At 37.9% G+C, this 22,837-nt stretch overlaps 2 annotated features.

The window, feature by feature from the left end:
* Positions 19,681-20,197: an enhancer, noted in NCBI's record as "OCT4-NANOG hESC enhancer chr4:58411549-58412065 (GRCh37/hg19 assembly coordinates)". NCBI's record gives its function as "activates a minimal SCP1, AML or CMV promoter by ChIP-STARR-seq in naive H9 embryonic stem cells {active_cell/tissue: H9 hESC(naive)}" and the evidence as "EXISTENCE:reporter gene assay evidence [ECO:0000049][PMID:30033119]".
* Positions 20,198-20,716: an enhancer, noted in NCBI's record as "OCT4-NANOG hESC enhancer chr4:58411030-58411548 (GRCh37/hg19 assembly coordinates)". NCBI's record gives its function as "activates a minimal SCP1, AML or CMV promoter by ChIP-STARR-seq in naive H9 embryonic stem cells {active_cell/tissue: H9 hESC(naive)}" and the evidence as "EXISTENCE:reporter gene assay evidence [ECO:0000049][PMID:30033119]".

The raw sequence follows: 22,837 nt of genomic DNA, 5'->3' as shown, positions 1-22,837 counted from the left end.
GGTACATAACGAAATGAAGGCAGAAATAAAGATGTTCTTTGAAACCAACGAGAACAAAGACACCACATACCAGAATCTCTGGGACGCATTCAAAGCAGTGTGTAGAGGGAAATTTATAGCACTAAATGCCTACAAGAGAAAGCAGGAAAGATCCAAAATTGACACCCTAACATCACAATTAAAAGAACTAGAAAAGCAAGAGCAAACACATTCAAAAGCTAGCAGAAGGCAAGAAATAACTAAAATCAGAGCAGAACTGAAGGAAATAGAGACACAAAAAACCCTTCAAAAAATCAATGAATCCAGGAGCTGGTTTTTTGAAAGGATCAACAAAATTGATAGACCGCTAGCAAGACTAATAAAGAAAAAAAGAGAAGAGAATCACATAGACACAATAAAAAATGATAAAGGGGATATCACCACCGATCCCACAGAAATACAAACTACCATCAGAGAATACTACAAACACCTCTACACAAATAAACTAGAAAATCTAGAAGAAATGGATACATTCCTCGACACATACACTCTCCCAAGACTAAAACAGGAAGAAGTTGAATCTCTGAATAGACCAATAACAGGCTCTGAAATTGTGGCAATAATCAATAGTTTACCAACCAAAAAGAGTCCAGGACCAGATGGATTCACAGCCGAATTCTACCAGAGGTACAAGGAGGAACTGGTACCATTCCTTCTGAAACTATTCCAATCAATAGAAAAAGAGGGAATCCTCCCTAACTCATTTTATGAGGCCAGCATCATTCTGATACCAAAGCCGGGCAGAGACACAACCAAAAAAGAGAATTTTAGACCAATATCCTTGATGAACATTGATGCAAAAATCCTCAATAAAATACTGGCAAACCGAATCCAGCAGCACATCAAAAAGCTTATCCACCATGATCAAGTGGGCTTCATCCCTGTGATGCAAGGCTGGTTCAATATACGCAAATCAATAAATGTAATCCAGCATATAAACAGAGCCAAAGACAAAAACCACATGATTATCTCAATAGATGCAGAAAAAGCCTTTGACAAAATTCAACAACCCTTCATGCTAAAAACTCTCAATAAATTAGGTATTGATGGGACATATCTCAAAATAATAAGAACTATCTATGACAAACCCACAGCCAATATCATACTGAATGGGCAAAAACTGGAAGCATTCCCTTTGAAAACTGGCACAAGACAGGGATGCCCTCTCTCACCACTCCTATTCAACATAGTGTTGGAAGTTCTGGCCAGGGCAATCAGGCAGGAGAAGGAAATAAAGGGTATTCAATTAGGAAAAGAGGAAGTCAAATTGTCGCTGTTTGCAGACAACATGATTGTTTATCTAGAAAACCCCATTGTCTCAGCCCAAAATCTCCTTAAGCTGATAAGCAACTCCAGCAAAGTCTCAGGATACAAAATCAATGTACAAAAATCACAAGCATTCTTATACACCAACAACAGACAAACAGAGAGCCAAATCATGGGTGAACTCCCATTCACAATTGCTTCAAAGAGAATAAAATACCTAGGAATCCAACTTACAAGGGATGTGAAGGACCTCTTCAAGGAGAACTGCAAACCACTGCTCAAGGAAATAAAAGAGGACACAAACAAATGGAAGAACATTCCATGCTCATGGGTAGGAAGAATCAATATCGTGAAAATGGCCATACTGCCCAAGGTAATTTACAGATTCAATGCCATCCCCATCAAGCTACCAATGAATTTCTTCACAGAATTGGAAAAAACTACTTTAAAGTTCATATGGAACCAAAAAAGAGCCCGCATTGCCAAGTCAATCCTAAGCCAAAAGAACAAAGCTGGAGGCATCATGCTACCTGACTTCAAACTATACTACAAGGCTACAGTAACCAAAACAGCATGGTACTGGTACCAAAACAGAGATATAGATCAATGGAACAGAACAGAGCCCTCAGAAATAATGCCGCATATCTACAACTATCTGATCTTTGACAAACCTGAGAAAAACAAGCAATGGGGAAAGGATTCCCTATTTAATAAATGGTGCTGGGAAAACTGGCTAGCCATATGTAGAAAGCTGAAACTGGATCCCTTCCTTACACCTTATACAAAAATCAATTCAAGATGGATTAAAGATTTAAACGTTAAACCTAAAACCATAAAAACCCTACAAGAAAACCTAGGCATTACCATTCAGGACATAGGCGTGGGCAAGGACTTCATGTCCAAAACACCAAAAGCAATGGCAACAAAAGCCAAAATTGACAAATGGGATCTAATTAAACTAAAGAGCTTCTGCACAGCAAAAGAAACTACCATCAGAGTGAACAGGCAACCTACAACATGGGAGAAAATTTTCGCAACCTACTCATCTGACAAAGGGCTAATATCCAGAATCTACAATGAACTCAAACAAATTTACAAGAAAAAACAAACAACCCCATCAGAAAGTGGGCAAAGGACATGAACAGACACTTCTCAAAAGAAGACATTTATGCAGCCAAAAAACACATGAAGAAATGCTCATCATCACTGGCCATCAGAGAAATGCAAATCAAAACCACTATGAGATATCATCTCACACCAGTTAGAATGGCAATCATTAAAAAGTCAGGAAACAACAGGTGCTGGAGAGGATGCGGAGAAATAGGAACACTTTTACACTGTTGGTGGGACTGTAAACTAGTTCAACCATTGTGGAAGTCAGTGTGGCGATTCCTCAGGGATCTAGGACTAGAAATACCATTTGACCCAGCCATCCCATTACTGGGTATATACCCAAATGAGTATAAATCATGCTGCTATAAAGACACATGCACACGTATGTTTATTGCGGCACTATTCACAATAGCAAAGACTTGGAACCAACCCAAATGTCCAACAATGATAGACTGGATTAAGAAAATGTGGCACATATACACCATGGAATACTATGCAGCCATAAAAAATGATGAGTTCATATCCTTTGTAGGGACATGGATGAAATTGGAAACCATCATTCTCAGTAAACTATCGCAAGAACAAAAAACCAAACACCACATATTCTCACTCATGGGTGGGAATTGAACAATGAGGTTACATGGACACAGGAAGGGGAATATCACACTCTGGGGACTGTGGTGGGGTCAGGGGAGGGGGGAGGGATAGCATTGGGAGATATACCTAATGCTAGATGACACATTAGTGGGTGCAGCGCACCAGCATGGCACATGTATACATATGTAACTAACCTGCACAATGTGCACATGTACCCTAAAACTTAGAGTATAATAAAAAAAAAAAAAAAAAAAAAGATCATGAAAAAAAAAAAAAAAAGGAAAAGTCTCAAGAAAAAAAAAAAAAAATCAGTGAATCCAGGAGCTGGTTTTTAGAAAGGATCAATAAAACTGATAGACTGCTAGCAAGACTAATAAAGAAGAAAAGAGAGAAGCATCAAATAGACGCAATAAAAAATGATAAAGGGGATATCACCACCGATCCCACAGAAATACAAACTACTATCAGAGAATACTATAAACAACTCTACTCAAATAAACTAGAAAATCTAGAAGAAACGGATAAATTCCTGGACACATACACTCCCAAGACTAAACCAGGAAGAAGTTGAATCTCTTAATAGACCAATAACAGGCTCTGAAATTGAGGCAATAATTAATAGCCTGCCAACCAAAAAAAGTCCAGGACCAGAAGAATTCACAGCCGAATTCTACCAGAGGTAGAAAGAGAAGCTGGTACCAATCCGTCCAAAACTATTCCAATCAACAGAAAAAGAGGGAATCCTCCCTAACTCATTGTATGAGGCCAGCATCATCCTGATACCAAAGCCTAGCAGAGACAGAACAAAAAAAGAGAATTTTAGCCAATATCTCTGATGAACATTGATGCAAAAATCCTCAGTAAAATACTGGCAAACTGAATCCAGCAGCACATCAAAAATTTTATCCACCACGATCAAGAAGGCTTCATCCCTGGGATGCAAGGCTGCTTCAACATATGCAAATCAATAAACGTAAAACATCACATAAACAGAACCAATGACAAAAACCACATGATTATCTCAATAGATGCAGAAAAGGCCTTCGAAAAAATTCAACAACGCTTCATGCTAAAAACTCTCAGTAAACTAGATATTGATGGAATGTATCTCAACATAATAAGAGCTATTTATGGCAAACCCACAGACAATATCATACTGAATGGGCAAAAACTGGAAGCATTCCCTTTGAAAACCAGAACAAGATAAGTAATCCCTCTCTCACCGCTTGTATTCAACACAGTGTTGGAAGTTTAGGCCAGGGCAATCAGGCAGGAGAAAGAAATAAAGGGTATTCAATTAAGAAATGAGGAAGTCAAATTGTCCCTATTTGCAGAGGACATGATTGTATATTTAGAAAACCCCATCATCTCAGCCCAAATTCTCCTTAAGCTGTTAAGCAACTTCAACAAAATCTCAGGATATATTATCAATGTGCAAAAATCACAAGCATTCTTATACACCAATAACAGACAAACAGAGAGCCAAATCATGAGTGAACTCCCATTCACAATTGCTTCAAAGAGAATAAAATACCTAGGAATCCAACTTACAAGGGATGTGAAAGATCTCTTCAAGAAGAACTAAAAACCACTGCTTAACGAAATAAAAGAGGACACAAACAAATGGAAGAATATTCCATTCTCATGGATAGGAAGAATCAATATCATGAAAATGGCCATACTGCTCAAAGTAATTTATAGATTCAGTGCCATCCCCATCAAGCTACCAATGACCCAATGACTTTCTTCACAGAATTGGAAAAAAACTGATTTATAGTTCATATGGAGCCAAAAAGGAGCCTGCATTGCCAAGACAATCCTAAGCAAAAAGAACAAAGCTGGACGCATCACACTACCTGACTTCAAACTATACTACAAGGCTACAGTAACCAAAACAGCATGGTACTTGTACCAAAACAGAGATATAAACCAATGGAACAGAACAGAGTCCTCAGAAATAATGCCACACATTTACAACCATCTGATTTTTGACAAACCTGACAAAAACAAGAAATGGGGAAAGGATGCCCTATTTAATAAATGATGCTGGAAAAACTGGCTAGCCATATGTAGAAAGCTGAAACTGGATCAATTCATTACACCATATACAAAAATTAATTCAAGATGGATTAAAGACTTACATGTTAGACCTAAAACCGTAAAACCCTAGAAGAAAACCTAGGCAATACCATTCAGGTCATAGACATGGGCAAGAACTTCATGACTAAAACACCAAAAGCAGTGGCAACAAAAGCCAAAATAGACACATGGGATCTAATTAAACTAAAGAGCTTATGTGCAGCAAAAGAAATCACCATCAGAGTGAATAGGCAACCTAGAGAATGGGAGAAAACTTTTGCAATCTACCCATCTGACAAAGTGTAATATCCTGAATCTACAAAGAACTCAAACAAATTTACAAGAAAAAAACAAACAACCCCATCAAAAAGTGGGCAAAGGATATGAACAGACACTTCTCAAATGAAGACATCTAGGCAGCCAACAGACACATGAAAAAATGCTCATCATCACTGGTCATCAGAGAAATGCAAATCAAAACCACAATGAGATACCATCTCACACCAGTTAGAATGGCAATCATTAAAAAGTCAGGAAACAATAGATGCTGGAGAGGATGTGGAGAAATAGGAAAACTTTTACACTGTTGGTGGGAATGTAAATTGGTTTAACCATTGTGTAAGACAGTGTGGCGATTCCTCACGGATCTAGAACTAGAAATACCATTTGACCCAGCCATCCCATTACTGGGTATATATCCAAAGGATTACAAATCATGCTACTATGAAAACACATGTACATGTATGTTTATTGTAACACTATCCACAATAGCAAAGGCTTGGAACCAACCCAAATGTCCATCAATGATAGACTGGATTAAGAAAATGTGGCACATATATGCCATGGAATACTATGCAGCCATAAAAAAGGATGAGTTCATGTCATTTGCGGGGACATGGATGAAGCTGGAAACCATCATTCTCAGCAAACTATCACAAGGACAGAAAACCAAACACTGCATGTTCTCACTTATAGGTGGGAATTGAACAATGAGATCACCGGGACACAGGGCGGGGAACATCACTCATTGGGGCCTGTCAGGGGGTCGGGGGCTGGGGAGGGATAGCATTAGGAGAAATGCCTAATATAAATGATGAGTTGATGGGTGCAGCAAACCAACATGGCACATGTATACCTATGTATCAAACCTGCACGTTGTGCACATGTACCCCAGAACTTAAAGGATAATAAATATATTAATTAATTAATTAAAAAAACAGCAGAGACTGAAGGATCATCAACAATAGAGCAATCTAAAAGACTTTAAAATATTATTGTTATTTTATGATCCAATGAAAGGAATAAAAATTAAGCAACATTAGAAAGAAAGAATATTAAAGAAAGCAGATGTGGAAAACAAACCGAATTTTTAAAATAAAAATTAAATTCATGGCAATTTTTAAAAATTACTCAGCTAAGATAAAAGAATTCCCTGAGAAGAGAACCCCTAAATGGAAAAGAGCTTGGCAGAAATCATTCAGAACAGAATATGGTGGGATATGGAGAAAGATATGTGAGGTTAAGTGGTGTGGAAGACACACAAAAAAGTTTCAACATTCATTTAATTGGCATACTAGAGAGAAATATTGACAGAATAGAAGACAGTAAATGTTTGAAAAAATGTTGGCTGAGAAATTTTCTGAATTGAAAAAAGGAATGGGAAAACACCGGTCATCAGACACATTACTTGGCTGCATCTGTTAACCACTATGCTACATGCAGTATACTCACAAAAACTTATCATGCCTAACTGCCAGTTATTTGTCATCTACTATTAGCACGTCACTTCACATCAATGCTTCTCAACCCCTCAAAGACATTTAAACATGTCTGGAGACAGGTTTCGGTTGTCACAACTGGTTAAGGGTCAGGAATGAGTTGCTACCGTCATCTAAATGTGTAGAAGTCAGGGAAGCCAGAAATACAAACTACCATCAGAGAATACCATAAACACCTCTATGCAAATAAACTAGAAAATCTAGAAGAAATGGATAAATTCCTCGACACATACACTCTCCCAAGACTAAAACAGGAAGAAGTTGAATCTCTGAATAGACCAATAACAGGCTCTGAAATTGAGGCAATAATTAATAGCTTACCAACCAAAAAAAGTCCAGGACCAGATGGATTCACAGCCGAATTCTACCAGAGGTACAAGGAGGAGCTGGTACCATTCCTTCTGAAACTATTCCAATCAATAGAAAAAGAGGGAATCCTCCCTAACTCATTTTATGAGGCCAGCATCATCCTGATACCAAAGCCTGGCAGAGACACAACCAAAAAAGAGAATTTTAGACCAATATCCTTGATGAACATTGATGCAAAAATCCTCAATAAAATACTGGCAAATCAAATCCAGCAATACATCAAAAAGCTTATCCACCATGATCAAGTGGGCTTCATCTCTGGGATGCAAGGCTGGTTCAACATACACAAATCAATAAACGAATCCAGCATATAAACAGAACCAACGACAAAAACCACATGATTATCTCAATAGATGCAGAAAAGGCCTTTCACAAAATTCAACAACCCTTCATGCTAAAAACTCTCAATAAATTAGGTATTGATGGGACATATCTCAAAATAATAAGAGCTATCTATGACAAACCCACAGCCAATATCATACTGAATGGACAAAAACTAAAAGCATTCCCTTTGAAAACTGGCACAAGACAGGGATGCCCTCTCTCACCACTCCTATTCAACATAGTGTTGGAAATTCTGGCCAGGGCAATCAGGCAGGAGAAGGAAATAAAGGGCATTCAATTAGGAAAAGAGGAAGTCAAATTGTCCCTGTTTGCAGATGACATGATTGTATATCTAGAAAACCCCATTGTCTCAGCCCAAAATCTCCTTAAGCTGATAAGCAACTCCAGCAAAGTCTCAGGATACAAAATCAATGTACAAAAATCACAAGCATTCTTATACACCAACAACAGACAAACAGAGAGCCAAATCATGAGTGAACTCCCATTCACAGTTGCTTCAAAGAGTATAAAATACCTAGGAATCCAACTTACAAGGGATGTGAAGGACCTCTTCAAGGAGAACTACAAACCACTGCTCAATGAAATAAAAGAGGATACAAACAAATGGAAGAACATTCCATGCTTATGGGTAGGAAGAATCAATATCGTGAAAATGGTCATACTGCCCAAGGTACTTTATAGATTCAATGCCATCCCCATCAAGCTACCAATGACTTTCTTCACAGAATTGGAAAAAACTACTTTAAAGTTCATATGGAACCAAAAAAGAGCCCGCATTGCCAAGTCAATCCTCAGCCAAAAGAACAAAACTGGAGGCATCACGCTACCTGACTTCAAACTATACTACAAGGCTACAGTAACCAAAACAGCATGGTACTGGTACCAAAACAGAGATATAGACCAATGGAACAAAACAGAGTCCTCAGAAATAATGCCACATATCTACAACTATCTGATCTTTGACAAACCTGAGAAAAACAAGAAATGGGGAAAGGATTCCCTATTTAATAAATGGTGCTGGGAAAACTGGCTAGACATATGTAGAAAGCTGAAACTGGATCCCTTCCTTACACCTTATACAAAAATTAATTCAAGATGGATTAAAGACTTAAATGTTAGACCTAAAACCATAAAAACCCTAGAAGAAAACATAGGCAATACCACTCAGGATATAGGCATGGGCAAGGACTTCATGTCTAAAACACCAAAAGCAATGGCAACAAAAGCCAAAATTGACAAATGGGATCTAATTAAACTAAAGAGCTTCTGCACAGCAAAAGAAACTACCATCAGAGTGAACAGGCAACCTAAAAAGTGGGAGAAAATTTTCCCAACCTACTCATCTGACAAAGGGCTAATATCCAGAATCTACAATGAACTCAAACAAATTTACAAGAAAAAAAAACCCCATCAAAAAGTGGGCGAAGGATATGAACAGACACTTCTCAAAAGAAGACATTTATGCAGCCAACAGACACATGAAAAAATGCTCATCATCACTGGCCATCAGAGAAATGCATATCAAAACCACAATGAGATACCATCTCACACCACTTAGAATGGCGATCATTAAAAAGTCAGGAACAACAGGTGCTGGAGAGGATGTGGAGAAATAGGAACACTTTTACACTGTTGGTGGGACTGTAAACTAGTTCGACCATTATGGAAGTCGGTGTGGCGATTCCTCAGGGATCTAGAACTAAAATACCATTTGATGTAGCCATCCCATTACTGGGTATGTATGTACCCAAAGGATTATAAATCATGCTGCTATAAAGACATATGCACATGTATGTTTATTGCGGCACTATTCACAATAGCAAAGACTTGGAACCAACCCAAATGTCCAACAATAATAGACTGGATTAAGAAAATGTGGCACATATACACCATGGAATACTATGCAGCCATAAAAAAGGATGAGTTCATGTCCTTTGTAGGGACATGGATGAAGCTGGAAACCATCATTCTCAGCAAACTATCACAAGGACAGAAAACCAAACACCACATGTTCTCACTCATAGGTGGGAATCGAACAATGAGAACACATGGACACAGGAAGGGGAACATCACACTCTGGGGACTGTTGTGGGCTGGGAGGAGGGGGGAGGGGGGAGGGTTAGCATTGGGAGATATACCTAATGCTAAATGACGAGTTAATGGGTGCAGCACACCGACATGTCACATGTGTATATATGTAACAAACCTGCACATTGTGCACATGTACCCTAAAACTTAAAGTATAATAATAATAATATTAATAATAATAATAATAATAATAAACAACTTACAACACACAGGACAGCCTTCACAATGAAGAATTATCTGGCCCAAATATCAGTAGCACTGATATTTGAGGTTGGGAAACACTGCTTTATGTATATTGACATTAATAGTCACAAGCCAGCAGTGAGTATTATTCCTCATTAAAAAACGAAATTTCCGGCTGGGCGTGATGGGTCACGCTTGTAATCACAGCACTTTGGGAGGCCGAGGTTGGTGGATCACAAGGTCAGGAGTTCGAGACCAGCCTGACCAACAGGGTGAAACCTGTCTCTACTAAAAATACAAAAATTAGCCGGGAATGGTGGTCGTGCGCGCCTGTAAGCCCAGCTACTCAGGAGGCTGAGGCAGGAGAATCTCTTGAACCCAGGAGGCAGAGGTTGCAGTGAGCCGAGACAGTGCCACTGCACTCCAGTCTGAGAAACAGAGCAAGACTCCGTCTCAAAAAAAACAACTAACTTTTCCAAGGCCAGGCAGTGAGGAAAGCGTGGAGCTTGGATTCAAATCCGTGCTGGTCTCACTCCGAAACCGATGTCCTTCAAATTGTATTTTTACAAGAGTTCAAATCAGCAGAGACTGCTGTTGTGAATGCTTAAAGTAGGTGTGGCAGCACCGAACGCACAGAAACTGACCACTCTGGTCAAACAATAGCTCCCTGACATTGTAGACCTGCGGATGAACCCACCAGATTTGTTTCTCTTATCACTCATCCATCTCCAGCTTTTTGTGTATTCACGTTCCAGGATGGGAGAGAAGCGGAGGTAATTTTCTGCTTCTTTAAAATACCAGTGCACAGAATAAATGCTTGCCACCACACTAATGCCCCCTGCTGATATGCTTACTGTTGGTGGCCTAAAATTTGGAACATACTGTGCTTTTAAGAACTCTCTGGGTACCCTAGATTTAAATCCACTCTTTAGTAAGACTATATTGGTTAGTGAATATTTTGTACTCACATTCTTACATTAAAAGGGCCCTCCAGATGGTCTATTTCTTGTTGGCTCAGCCCAAACACACATGCATAAATCAGCAGCAAATTTGGTAATAGGACACAACATTTGGAATCAAAATGATCCACTGACACCACCATGCCGTGTTTCCCGGCCATGCTTTGATCTCTTAAATCATAGCAAAACTCACTTCAAAATAAAAACATGTCTAAATATGCCATTGCAATTGCATTTTTAAAATTAGATTCTTGAACACTTTTCAATCAAACATGTATTTTATTATTCTGTGTAGACATTGCATAGGTTATTGTTATGAATAGCTCATCATTCTCATAAGAAATCTAAGCTCATCCCAATGTGATTCTTTTAAAATTAGAAATATTCTTCCTAATTGGTGGGGCTGCTGTTATCTTTTCCAAATCTCTTTCGAATGCAGTTTATCTTATTCCACTATTTTTCTTATTACTGTTTTTAGACATAGGTTTCCTTGGAAACTGGACTTCTAATGGACTTTAGCTACAGATAGGCTAAAAAATTGTCTTTATTCATTTATCATTTCATTGTAATTAAATCTTCTATATGATGTGGCCTATTCTCATGTATGGTATTTTGTTTCTATGGTAACAGAGATTTTTCTACTATCCATAGTTTGAAATGACTTCACAGTATTTCTTGATTAACTCGTGAGACCAATATTGCATTTTGTAAACTTACATGCAGTCGAACTTATAAAGCAATGGTTGCAAAAAAAAATTATCTTGTTTTCTATTTTTTTGAAATTTGCTTTTGTTTTTATGGTTCTTTTTCCTGATATGCTTCCCTCCTAGAGCAACATAATTTGTGCCGCTAGGAAAAGCAGATTTCACCACTAAGTTTAGCAAAGCCTATCATTTCTGTAGTTGGATTGCCATCTACAGTTTTTAAGACCCAGTGACTGACAAAAAAATCAACTATGACATTTCTGTAAAATGAATAAAAAAAAGGATCTTAGTCACAATTTTTCTTTCTGTTAATAATTTTAATAACCTATTGATATCATTAATCTACTAACAAAAAGAATATCACATCCTCATTTTTTTGCTCTTAACACAGCACTTTGTTTATTCCAAGAGTTTCAGAACAGTTCAGAGGGGCTGCAGTTACTGATCATATAAATAATATTGAAATAAAATTGTTAATCTATAAAATCCATTTTAATTTTAATGGCATTTTTAAATTAACAAATTTATTATTCTTGCTATAGAGCAATAATAAATAACAAGTGAACTATATTTAGAACTATTCAATCATTCAATAAATATTTGTCAGTCACCCCCCTCCATAGCCAGTGCTGTTTTAATCTAGGCTCCTGACAGTCTTAAATCCTAATAGCATCCAATTTGAAAAACTCATGGTTTTAAAGATTCTCTTAGCCTGAAGTGCTGTAAGACCTAAGGGAAAGTAACATCTACATGGAAAAGTGATTTCTGAAACCACAGACTGAAGTAATTCAATACTAATCATATGAAGAATGGGTAGCAAGAACCTGTCCTGGATTGAACTATCCTACTCAATCCCATTTATGAGGACTTTATTAGGACTTGAAACCATAGAAGGATCATGTGCATAACCTTGCAAGTTTTATCCTATTCCCTGAAAATATGGGTATAACCAATATACACTTTGGAGTCATTATTAAAATTAGAAATCCCTCAGGGTTTTCACTGTGGTGCCAGATTGTAAGAAATCAAACTATTTAAGGAAGACATATTCTTTAAGAAAGACTCTCCATCTCTTTAAATTTCAGTTTCATAACAATATAGAAAGGGAAAACAGGCTCATAGTACTTACTTTATAAGGCTGTCATAATAAATACTAGGATAAAATAGGAAGATGGATTTTATTAACTATAAAAATATAAATGTTTGGTATTAATACTATCAGGATTATTGGTGATATGTAGGGACAACCAGGGTCTGAATCTGCCAGAAATTTAACATGGGGAGCCAGGAATCTGCATTGAAGACCAAGGGAAGTCAAACTTTAGCAGTAGATAAGCCTTACTGTGGCTTCTGTAAACCTGCTGCTACTGTATCACGGTATTTCATTATTTGCTAGAATCTCAAGATAATGCTTCAAGCACCTCTACAAAGATCACTAATACAATACAGTTGTGCCTCAGTATCTATGGGGGATTTGTTCCAGGACTCCCGTGGATATAAAAATCTATGGATGCTCAGGTCCCTTGTAAAAAATGGCATAATATTTGTATATCATGTACACAAATCCTCCTATATACTTTAAATTATCTCTAAATTATTTATGATACCTTATATAATGCCTACATATAACTTCATTCTCATGGATTCCACATAATAGCTGCCATGAGGCAAATTTAAATTTTGCTTTTTGGGACTTTGTGGAATTTTTTTCCCAAATATTTTCTATCTGCTGTTGGTTGAATTGAATACAAAGGACTGACTGTATTGTTCTTTCACTTCATCCTTTTCTCTGCATCTGAGTAGGCCTTAAAAGTGCAATGTTGCTGATTGCAAACAAAATGAAGATCCAAAGGAAAACTTGATAGTTTGGTCCCTTTCCAGAAACTGAACAATAAAAATTAACTGTGTGAATGAGAAAAATCTCCTCTGGCAGACAAATGTAAAATCATTCTACCCTGTCATACATGTAAGAAATCTTTCAGGAATCCTTAAAAAAGAAAAAAAAAAGATAAATATTCGGTCTGTTGATTAATAATCAAATAAGGAACGACCAACAATGACAACAACAAAATTCAACTGTAGAGATACATCCAGCAGGAACTGATAGGAAACAAAACTTGCAATGTTCAGTGGCCATTTTCTACCCTATCCTTCAGAGGAAAAATCTGAAAAAAATACCTTAAAAAGAAAGCAAATCTGCAATGACAAAAAATGGAGGGAAAATCTAAAATACAAATTTTAAAATGTTCAATGATTTTCATTTGAAAAATAATGATTTCTGTTACCATTCTGCAGAAGCAGAGATGGGCCTTTAGGCAGAGAGCAAGTGGGGGATCCTTCCAAAGGGTGAGAAATATTCTATATTTTAATCAGAATGGGAGGGAGATTGCAAAAATCCATCAAGCTATACCTCTAAGATTATAGGTTACCTAAATTATGTCTCTATTTTTCAAAACTGGAAAAACAATGTTTCCTCATTCAGAATCATGGGACATAACACTGATCATGTGGAATCCATAGTTTATCTCAATGATTTGTTTAAATAAGCACTGAAATGTTGTATATTTATAAGAAAAACAATGTGGTATTATAGAAATCTGCAACATAACAATCTTTGAATTCCCACCATACAATTGAAGATAAACTTTATTTGCTCAAATCCATACAGAGATGTTTCATTGTTAAACTTATGTGCCTATCTTTCACCATAATAATCAATTGGGATATTTGGCTCTTTTTCTTCTCCAAAAACTTATATTTTTTATTTATTTATTTAATAATCTATGTTTATGACTGCCTATGACTATGACTGAAACCAGAAATCGATCACAGAGCCCAAAAGACCTAGATACTGCAGCAGTGACAAAATGGGTTAGGGAAGGAGAAATGGACCGAATGTAGAGGTTCTCTCATTGATGAAAGTAGATGACTAATAAATCCAGAAAGCTGGGTGTAGTGGCTCACACCTGTAATCCCAGCAGTTTGGGAGGCTGAGGCGGGCAGATCACTTGAGCCCAGGGGTTCGAGACCAGCCTGGACAACATGGCAAAACCCTGTCTCTACAAAAAATACAAAAATTAGCTGGACGTGGTGGCATGCACCTATAGTCCCAGCTACTAGGGAGGCTGAGGTAGGAGGATCTCGTTAGCCCAGGAGGTGGAGGCTGCAGTGAGCTGAGATAGTAGCACTGCACTCCAGCCCCGGCAACAGAACGAGACCATGTCTAAAATATAATAAAATAAAATAAAGAGTACAGTGGGATGGGGTAGGATGGGGTGGGGTGGGGAGTTTACAAAAAGCATTTCTAAGGAAAGTTCACTCAATATGAACCCTGTTTAAGGTAATTCCAACATGGACTAAAGGAGATTTATGGTCTTTCCTGAGCGTGACTAGATCCCAAAAGATTTTGTATTGGCATAAACTGCGTTTATAATGTGAGGCTAATTTTAATATCAATAACCCATGCCTTAGGCCTTAAAATAAAATTTTAAAAACCAACAATGTGTGCAAATGTAAGTGACTAGAGAGAATATGTGTAAAGGCAAGTGGATTCCCAGAAAATGTCAGCACTTCGTAGGATGAGCTCTGGCAGCCATCTCAGTGTTGACAATATGCTAGAGAGGCTCGGAACATAAATCAATCTACATTTGTTCTCACAGGGACTGGGAGCTGGAATTACTGTTTCTGAAACTTGAGCCAATATTGTCACAGCAATATAAATGATGGAAACTTTGCCACTCTAGTCTGCTTCACCCATTGCATGAACCTCCTGGCAAACAACGCCCTGGAATTTCATTAATTAGTGCTAACTATGATTGGCACTGCCAGAGAGGACAATAAAACAACCACAGTGTTTTTTATGAACATATGGGTGGCAGAGGCTCTAGCTGGGAAATACAAGATTGGTTTCCAACTTATTAAAGCATATTTATACTGTATAATTTACCTAATTTTGCCTTTTTAAGCTAATTTATTTTTTTCAATTTTTGTGGATTGAATATTGAAGTATCAACTGCTTAACTAGTAGAAGTTATAATATTTTTCTCAGTGGAAAATGTGAGATTTTCAATTGGGAAGGACCCTTTGAAATGATCTAACTCACACCTTTATTTTACAGATGAAGACATTTAGTCCCAGGAAAGTTAAGTCACTTTACCAAACTAACAAAAAGTAGTAAAATCAAGGCCAAAACCCAGATATTCTAAATCCCGGGTTTATTCCTCTATCACATTGTCTCTTAATTGACAATTGTTTTCAATATATTGACGTTAAATTGAGGTATAACAGTTTGGGGTTGACATTTAGCTACTTTCCATATGCCTTTGAAGGCAGAAGTGTTTTGTTTCTTTGTTTGTTTTCAGAGTTGAGGTCTCGCTTCAAGTCCAAGCTGGACTTGAAATCCTAGGCTCAAGGTATCCTCCTGCCTCAGTCTCTCAACTAGCTGGGACTTACAAGCGAGTGCCACCATGCCCAGCTTTTATATGCTTTTTAACTAAACCAGTTATATGAAGTTTTTCAATTCCACACAATGATCTTCTAAATAAGTTTAAAAGAAAAAATATATACATTAAAATTAGAAACACCACAGCCTATTTTCATAGAAATTTCTTCTTTTTCTTGCCTTCAAATATTCCTTTATTAATTCCTTTATTAATTGATAAATATTCCTTTATCAATTACCTCTACTCATCTTATTAATAGGAAAAATAAACATTACTTGTTTAAGCCTTTGAATGTTATAACAGTAGATAATATCTTCTCATGATCCCCCCATAATACCATCCCCTTTGCCCTTAAGCACACACACATATGTGAATTTGGTACCATGTTGGGACAGCGAGAAAGCTACTGGGAGGAACTTTCAGTTATGATTTTAATTTTGGAGGTGACAAAAAAATACAGAAAAGTCCTATTTCCATGTCATATTTGTCTAACACACTTCTAGAGTCTCATTGCATGGAGGATGCCACATAGCCAATAGAATCTCCCTAGTTGATCTCTATCTTAATTGAAACCAGGAACTAAAGGGCCTGCATTGGCACTTGTATGATAATTCCAAAACAAAAGAGAAAATACTAAATGTTGCAGGCATTCAGAGCAATACAGCACACCCAGGTAGGTTACCTGAGAACTGGGCACTCAGTTCAAGCAATCAACACTGAGTTACAAATTCAGAACGCATTGTTTTTATCCCACCTTAAAATTGCTTTTAATGAACAATACTTTGTCTTTATTTTATTAGTATTATTATTTTTTGAGACTGGGTTTTACTCTGTTGCCCAGGCTGGAGTGCAGTGATGCAATCTCAGCTCATAGCAGCCCTGACGTCCCAGGCTCAGATGATCCTCCCCAGTAGCTGGGACCACAGCCGCACACCACCACACCTGTCTAATTTTTGTATTTTTAGTAGAGACGGGGTTTGCCATGTTGCCCAGGCTGGTCTTGAACTCCTGGACTCGGGCAATCTGCCCTCCTCAGCCTCCCAAAGTGCTGGGATTACAGACGTGAGTCACCATGTCCGGCCTGCCTGTATAATTTCTGACTACACTAAAGGACCTTAAACAGTTCTACATTATGGTCTCTGTCTTCACATCCTTGAAGTAATTGTCTGCTATCTCACACAGTATGCCTTTAAGACTGGTCAGAGACATTTCTCTAGATTTCAGTTCAGTAAAACCTGCTGCCCAGAAGCAACAGGTTTGTTTTGGGGTTTGGGTTTTGTTTTCCTTTGGTGTAACTGTAAAATCATAGAAGGATGTATGATTAAGAGAAGCTAGTTTAACTGTTTAAGGTGGGAGGGACTTGTTCAAGATCACTTGCTGAAGGAGAAAAACTTAAGCATAGGAGAAAGGAAGAGAAAATGGACAAATATCCTATGCTGGTGGGAAAAAAAAAAGTGTTGTACACTAAAGTTCATCATCTACCTTCTCCAACTGGCCTTTCTACCTCTTGAGAGGTAATATAACATATAGTGTGGTATGGAGCTTGGACTTTGGAAGCAGACTAAGCCAGACCAGCTTTATCACTTATGTGAATAATCTTGAGCAAGGTAATTAGCCTCAGCTTCCTCATCTATAAAATGGGGGAAATAATAACTTCTTGTGTAGGATTGTCATGAGTCTCAAAGAAGCCAATATTTATGGTATTTGGAATAGCACCTGGAACATAGCACACATTCAACAGTTTATCATCATCATCTTCTTCATCATCATTATCACCTCTGCTTCAGCTTCAGCTTCTCAACGAGTAGAGGATTAAACTTAATTCAGCAAAATTACTAAACACCTATTGGTACCAAGCATTATAGCAGGTGGTAAAAAGACAAAGATGAATAAGATGCAAAGCCTGCTGTCAAGGTACTCAGTCTAGTAAATAAATAATTGCGCTACATATTTTACATTAATATCAAAAACAGTAATGCATGTCTCCAAGTCCTCTGGTTGTGCAAGACAGGCAGCAGAAGCTGGAATGAGAAACCTAAATGCCTTGTATGCTTTTGAAATCTAGAAATCCCTCTCTAGAGGCTGGGACAACCCGACCTGAAGGCAATTTCTTCCCACCCCAGCCTGGCCACAGAAAATGATCATCATTCCCTGCCCCTCAGGAGCTGTGGTTGGGGAGACAGAAAGAGAGAGAGAGTTATAACTCTAAGACCCAGGACATTAGGGTTGTCTAATTTGCATGTGTGGAAAATATACAGCCAGATGAGTGGTGGTAGCAAAATGAGCACGTGCACTGACCATATCTAGGAACAACACACTAGGGTTCACCAAAAATAAGAACCCCGAGATTTCATGGCTATCTCTCTACTCTCCAAATGCTTAGAGGTCAAGTCTGTGGACAGAGTCTCTAAATATCACTCTGACAAGAATCTTTTATGAAATCTACTTCATTGTGATAGCCAAAGCAAGCACACTTACAAGAAAACTAATGAACCACTGCAAATACCCACCTAGACAGATAATACTTAAGCTTAACTTCACTTAACATCAAAGAAATATGTAAGAGGGTAACATGTGCTTACAGGAAGGTTTGGTTTAGCCAGATGTGATCATTGGTATCACAAAATCTGCTTTGTTAAAAATAGTTCTATAATACATGTAAGTAATTTGAAAAAGCTACATCTAGACTGTTTTTCCTTAGTAAGCAAAGCCAATGGAGTAAAGGCAATACAATTCACAGTAGGTCATAGGACCCTTTTTTTATTTTTTAATTTTATTATTATTATTATCCTTTAAGTTTTAGGGTACATGTGCACAACATGCAGGTTTGTTACATATAGGACCCTTTTCTATCAGCCCAGCTTTGAAAGGAGTTGTATTATTCAAAAGACTTCTCTCCAGCTCTCTCTGCCCAACCTCAGCAGTTTGCCTCTCCAAAGTGCTGGCCCCCTACCTCCCAGCCATTGCCTAACCCTTACCTAGCCACAACCAACGATTTCCTCAACTCCAAGGACAAAGGAGAGGAGCTCTTTTTGTTGTGTGCAGAGATATACAACAATAAGGAACCATGTTAAATTTTGTATCAGGACTAATTTTTTTTTTACTACTTATGCCACTATTAGAGAACACAAATAAAGGGATAATTAAGAACTTGGACACTTCTTTTGTTGTTTTGCCATTGACACATCATTTTTAAGAACTCAGAAACAGAGAGGGCCAAAACATTTCAAATAACATCTGATTTGATTGCAAAAATAAGTTTATATTCCTTCTTTTTCTCTCATATCAATACATTGTTCAGGCGTGTGCCCTTTTGAAAGACAAGGTAAGCTAAAGGTTTTCAGCTCCCCCAAATAAACTAAAGATCCAGATTAAAGATCCTCGAGAGCTTCAAAGTAGAAATGTTTACACACTTTGTTAACTTTGATTTTTAGCTTTTATTTTTAGAAATGTTGCACAGATTTGCCCAGGTCTCTGAGTAATAAGAAGAATTAATGGGTAAAACATAATTCCCGTAATGTGAGAAGGTTCAGCTTGAAGTTCTCAAGCACTGAGTCAATGAGTTATAGCATAATATCGATAATGTATCAAACATTCCCAGTGATAAACTTCAGGATTATCCCAGACTTTCTTAAAGTTGGGACATTTTGGTCAAGAAGTCTAGTTGAGCTAAAATGCCCTCTAGAGAGAAATGCTCAGGAGTCTCACAGTTTCTCATAATTTTGCCACCTAAGGAAATCCTATTAAAAGGTATGTTCCTTCAGAGTGATTATTTATTCTTCTACTTATAGTAATAAAAAATTTTAATTTCTCCCAAAACCACTCTTTTTCTGGTTGCCTTTTATAAATCCCTGATTCCTCTACTGTTGCCTTTCTCTGGTCTATCATGTTTTACTCACTATAGCCAAACAAAAGAGCAAGATTAAGAATTTTTTGTTACCTAGAGAATTGTTAAATTATAAATTGAACGCACTCATTTAGAAGAAAATTCTTTTTCTGCTTTTTCTGCTTCAGCTGCTAGCTGAAGCCAATGACATCAGGTTACACTGCCTTCTTTCCAATCTTATTATCATTACTGACCTCCCTCCCCATCACTCTCACACATCCCCTAAGGATCACTGTTTTGTTTTCTATTCAGTTGCCTACTGTTATCCTGAGTGATTTCAATATACATTTTGATGAACCACTTAACACCTTGGTCCCATTATTTCATGACCTCCTCCTCTTCAAATCCTCACTTCTGCTCCAGAATCCATTTCCATTGATATTGTAATCAATTCTTTCACCCCTATGAACCTTTAGAAACCGTGCTGTTTGATTTCGTCAGGATCTCAAATGACTTCCCACCTCATTTCTTCAAGTTGGCCAGCCTCTTCTCTTCCCTACTCTCCTACTCTCCTTGGATCCAAGGGCAATTATTTTGTAATAAATAAGTACTCAGAATCTCCTCAATTCCTCCATCTCCCTCTTCTGAACCCTCATGCTGCCTACAATCATTCATTGATTTCCCTTGTCCCTTGTTAACCAAATTTACTTATGGTTTTGCAGAATGTAGATCCACACAAGGTTGTTTAGGCAAGGAGGCAAGAGAAGCACTGCTTGCCAAGCTCTAAGTGCTGCCTTCAACTGGAGGGAGGGGCTCATTTTTCTAACACAAAAGTAACTTGAGCTCCCTCAAATCCTTTTTTCTGTTTTGCAGACAGAGCGTTATGAGATAGCCATGGCCCAGTGGGTAGCTAGGCAGAGTTGGGGAAAAAAAGATGCTTTTATCCAATATGAATTTTTTGGCAATATCTGGCTTATTGAACACTCCCTCTTCTTGAAACTTTTCCGTATCACTCTCCAAAACACTGCTTGACTCTGGTTCTCTTGTCGTCTCTATGATCTCTTTTTTTTTTAATTATACTTTAAGTTTTAGGGTACATGTGCACAACGAGCAGGTATGACCCCTTTTAAAACTCCTTTTCTGGCTCCTCCTCCTTAGCCTATCTGGCAAATATCAGGCATTCCTCATTGTACCTCTCTGACGCACTTCTCTTTCCTCGCTAAACCTTCTCTCTGGGTGGTTTTAACACCTCGCACTATCACAACTCTCCCTCATGTGAGTGACTTTCAAATTTATCTCCACCTCTGATTTCCCCTGGTTTCCAAATCCACTTTCCAATTCCTACTGAACATTTTTACCTAACCATCTCATAAGCGTCAAAAGTTCATAATGTCCAAAACTGAATACATTTTCCCCAAATCCTTGTTTTCTCTCACCTGTGTTCTCTGTTTTTGTTAATGGCATGTTCACCCACCAGATGTTACAAGATAGAAACCTAAAGTTCGTTTTAGATTAATCTCTTTAACTCACTTTCCACATTTAGTCAATCACCAGGTCCCACTAACTATCCTACTGAAGTATTGTTCAAATCCATCCCCTCCTCCTACTTCACCTTGACTTCCCATTATCTAAGCTATAACAATAACTTCTGAACCCACTGACCAAAACCAACAGTATGACGTACTTACAAGCATCTTTTACAATATAACTCCAATTTACCTTCCAACTCCATTACTAGCCACTTCCCCTACTCATGTACTCTATTTTTTTTTTTTTTTGACAGAGTCTTGCTCTGTCGGCCAGGCTGGAGTGCAGTGGCACAATCTCTGCTCACTGCAACCTCCGCCTCCCGAGCTCAAGCAATTCTCCTGCCTCAGCCTCCTGAGTAGCTGGGATTACAGGTGTGTGCCACCATGCCCAGCTAATTTTTGTATCTTTAGCAGAGATGGGGTTTCACCATGTTGCCCAGGCTGGTCTTGAACTCCTGACCTTAGGTAATCTACCTGCCTCGGCCTCCCAAAGTGCTGGGATTACAGGCATGAGCCACCACGCCCAGCCTCATGTACTGTATTCTAGCCACACTGATCTACTTAATTTTCCCTGAACACTTCATGAACATTCACAGCACGTCATTTCTACTTACTCTGTCCTTCTCCTAAAACATCTATCACTTCTTTTCTCTCTGGCAAACACAATCATACTCATTCTTAATTGTCCTTCTTTGATGTTTTCTTCCGTGTAGAGTTTTCCCTGTCGGCCCTTTCTCCAGCTAAAAATTAACTGCCTCATCTTCTTTTCTCCTATAGCACTCAATGCTTTTTGCAGTACTTATTGTCTTAGTTATAAATTGCATGCTCCATAAAATATGAGGCTATGAATTCAAGGCTTCAGAACACAAGAATCCATTTTACCTGGTAGATGGTGAACAAATCAGCCATTTTCACTTCCATTCCATGTAATTTTCAGAATCCTTGTAAGTTTTATGTTTTTGTGTTTTGATGCTTGTTTAATTGTTAACATAATGAGGTGGGGGTGTTTTGGTGAGGGGAAGAGAAATTTTTACACACGTTGTTAACTTTGATTTTTAGCTTTTATTTTTAGGAATGTTGCACAGATTTGCCCAGGTATCTGAGTAGTAAGAAGAATTAATGGGTAAAACGTAATTCCCATGATGTGAGAAGGTTCAGCATAGACCCCTACAATGCCAATATCAATTTCCTGAGATGAAACCAGGAACCATCATCTCAGCAGGCAGAAAACAGACTCACTTTCAACCTCAGTATTTCCATTCTAATAGCCCTTTATTTCCCACCTGGATCAACCTCTTCTGACTTTTCAGATATCCCCATCTGTGGTGGTTAGTTCAATGTATCAACCTGACTAGGCTAAGGGATGCCCAGAGGACTGGTAAAATATTATTTCTAGGTGTGTCTGTGAGGATGTTTCTAGAAAAGATTAGCATTTAAATCCATAGATCTAGTAAAGAAGATCATCCACACCAATGGTGGTATCATTCAATCCATTAGGGCCCTCCCAAATAGAATAAAAA

The sequence above is a fragment of the Homo sapiens genome, chromosome 4 (assembly GCF_000001405.40).
Source record: "Homo sapiens chromosome 4, GRCh38.p14 Primary Assembly".
Classification (NCBI taxonomy): domain Eukaryota; kingdom Metazoa; phylum Chordata; class Mammalia; order Primates; family Hominidae; genus Homo; species Homo sapiens.
This window is presented reverse-complemented; position numbering and strand designations above follow the sequence as displayed.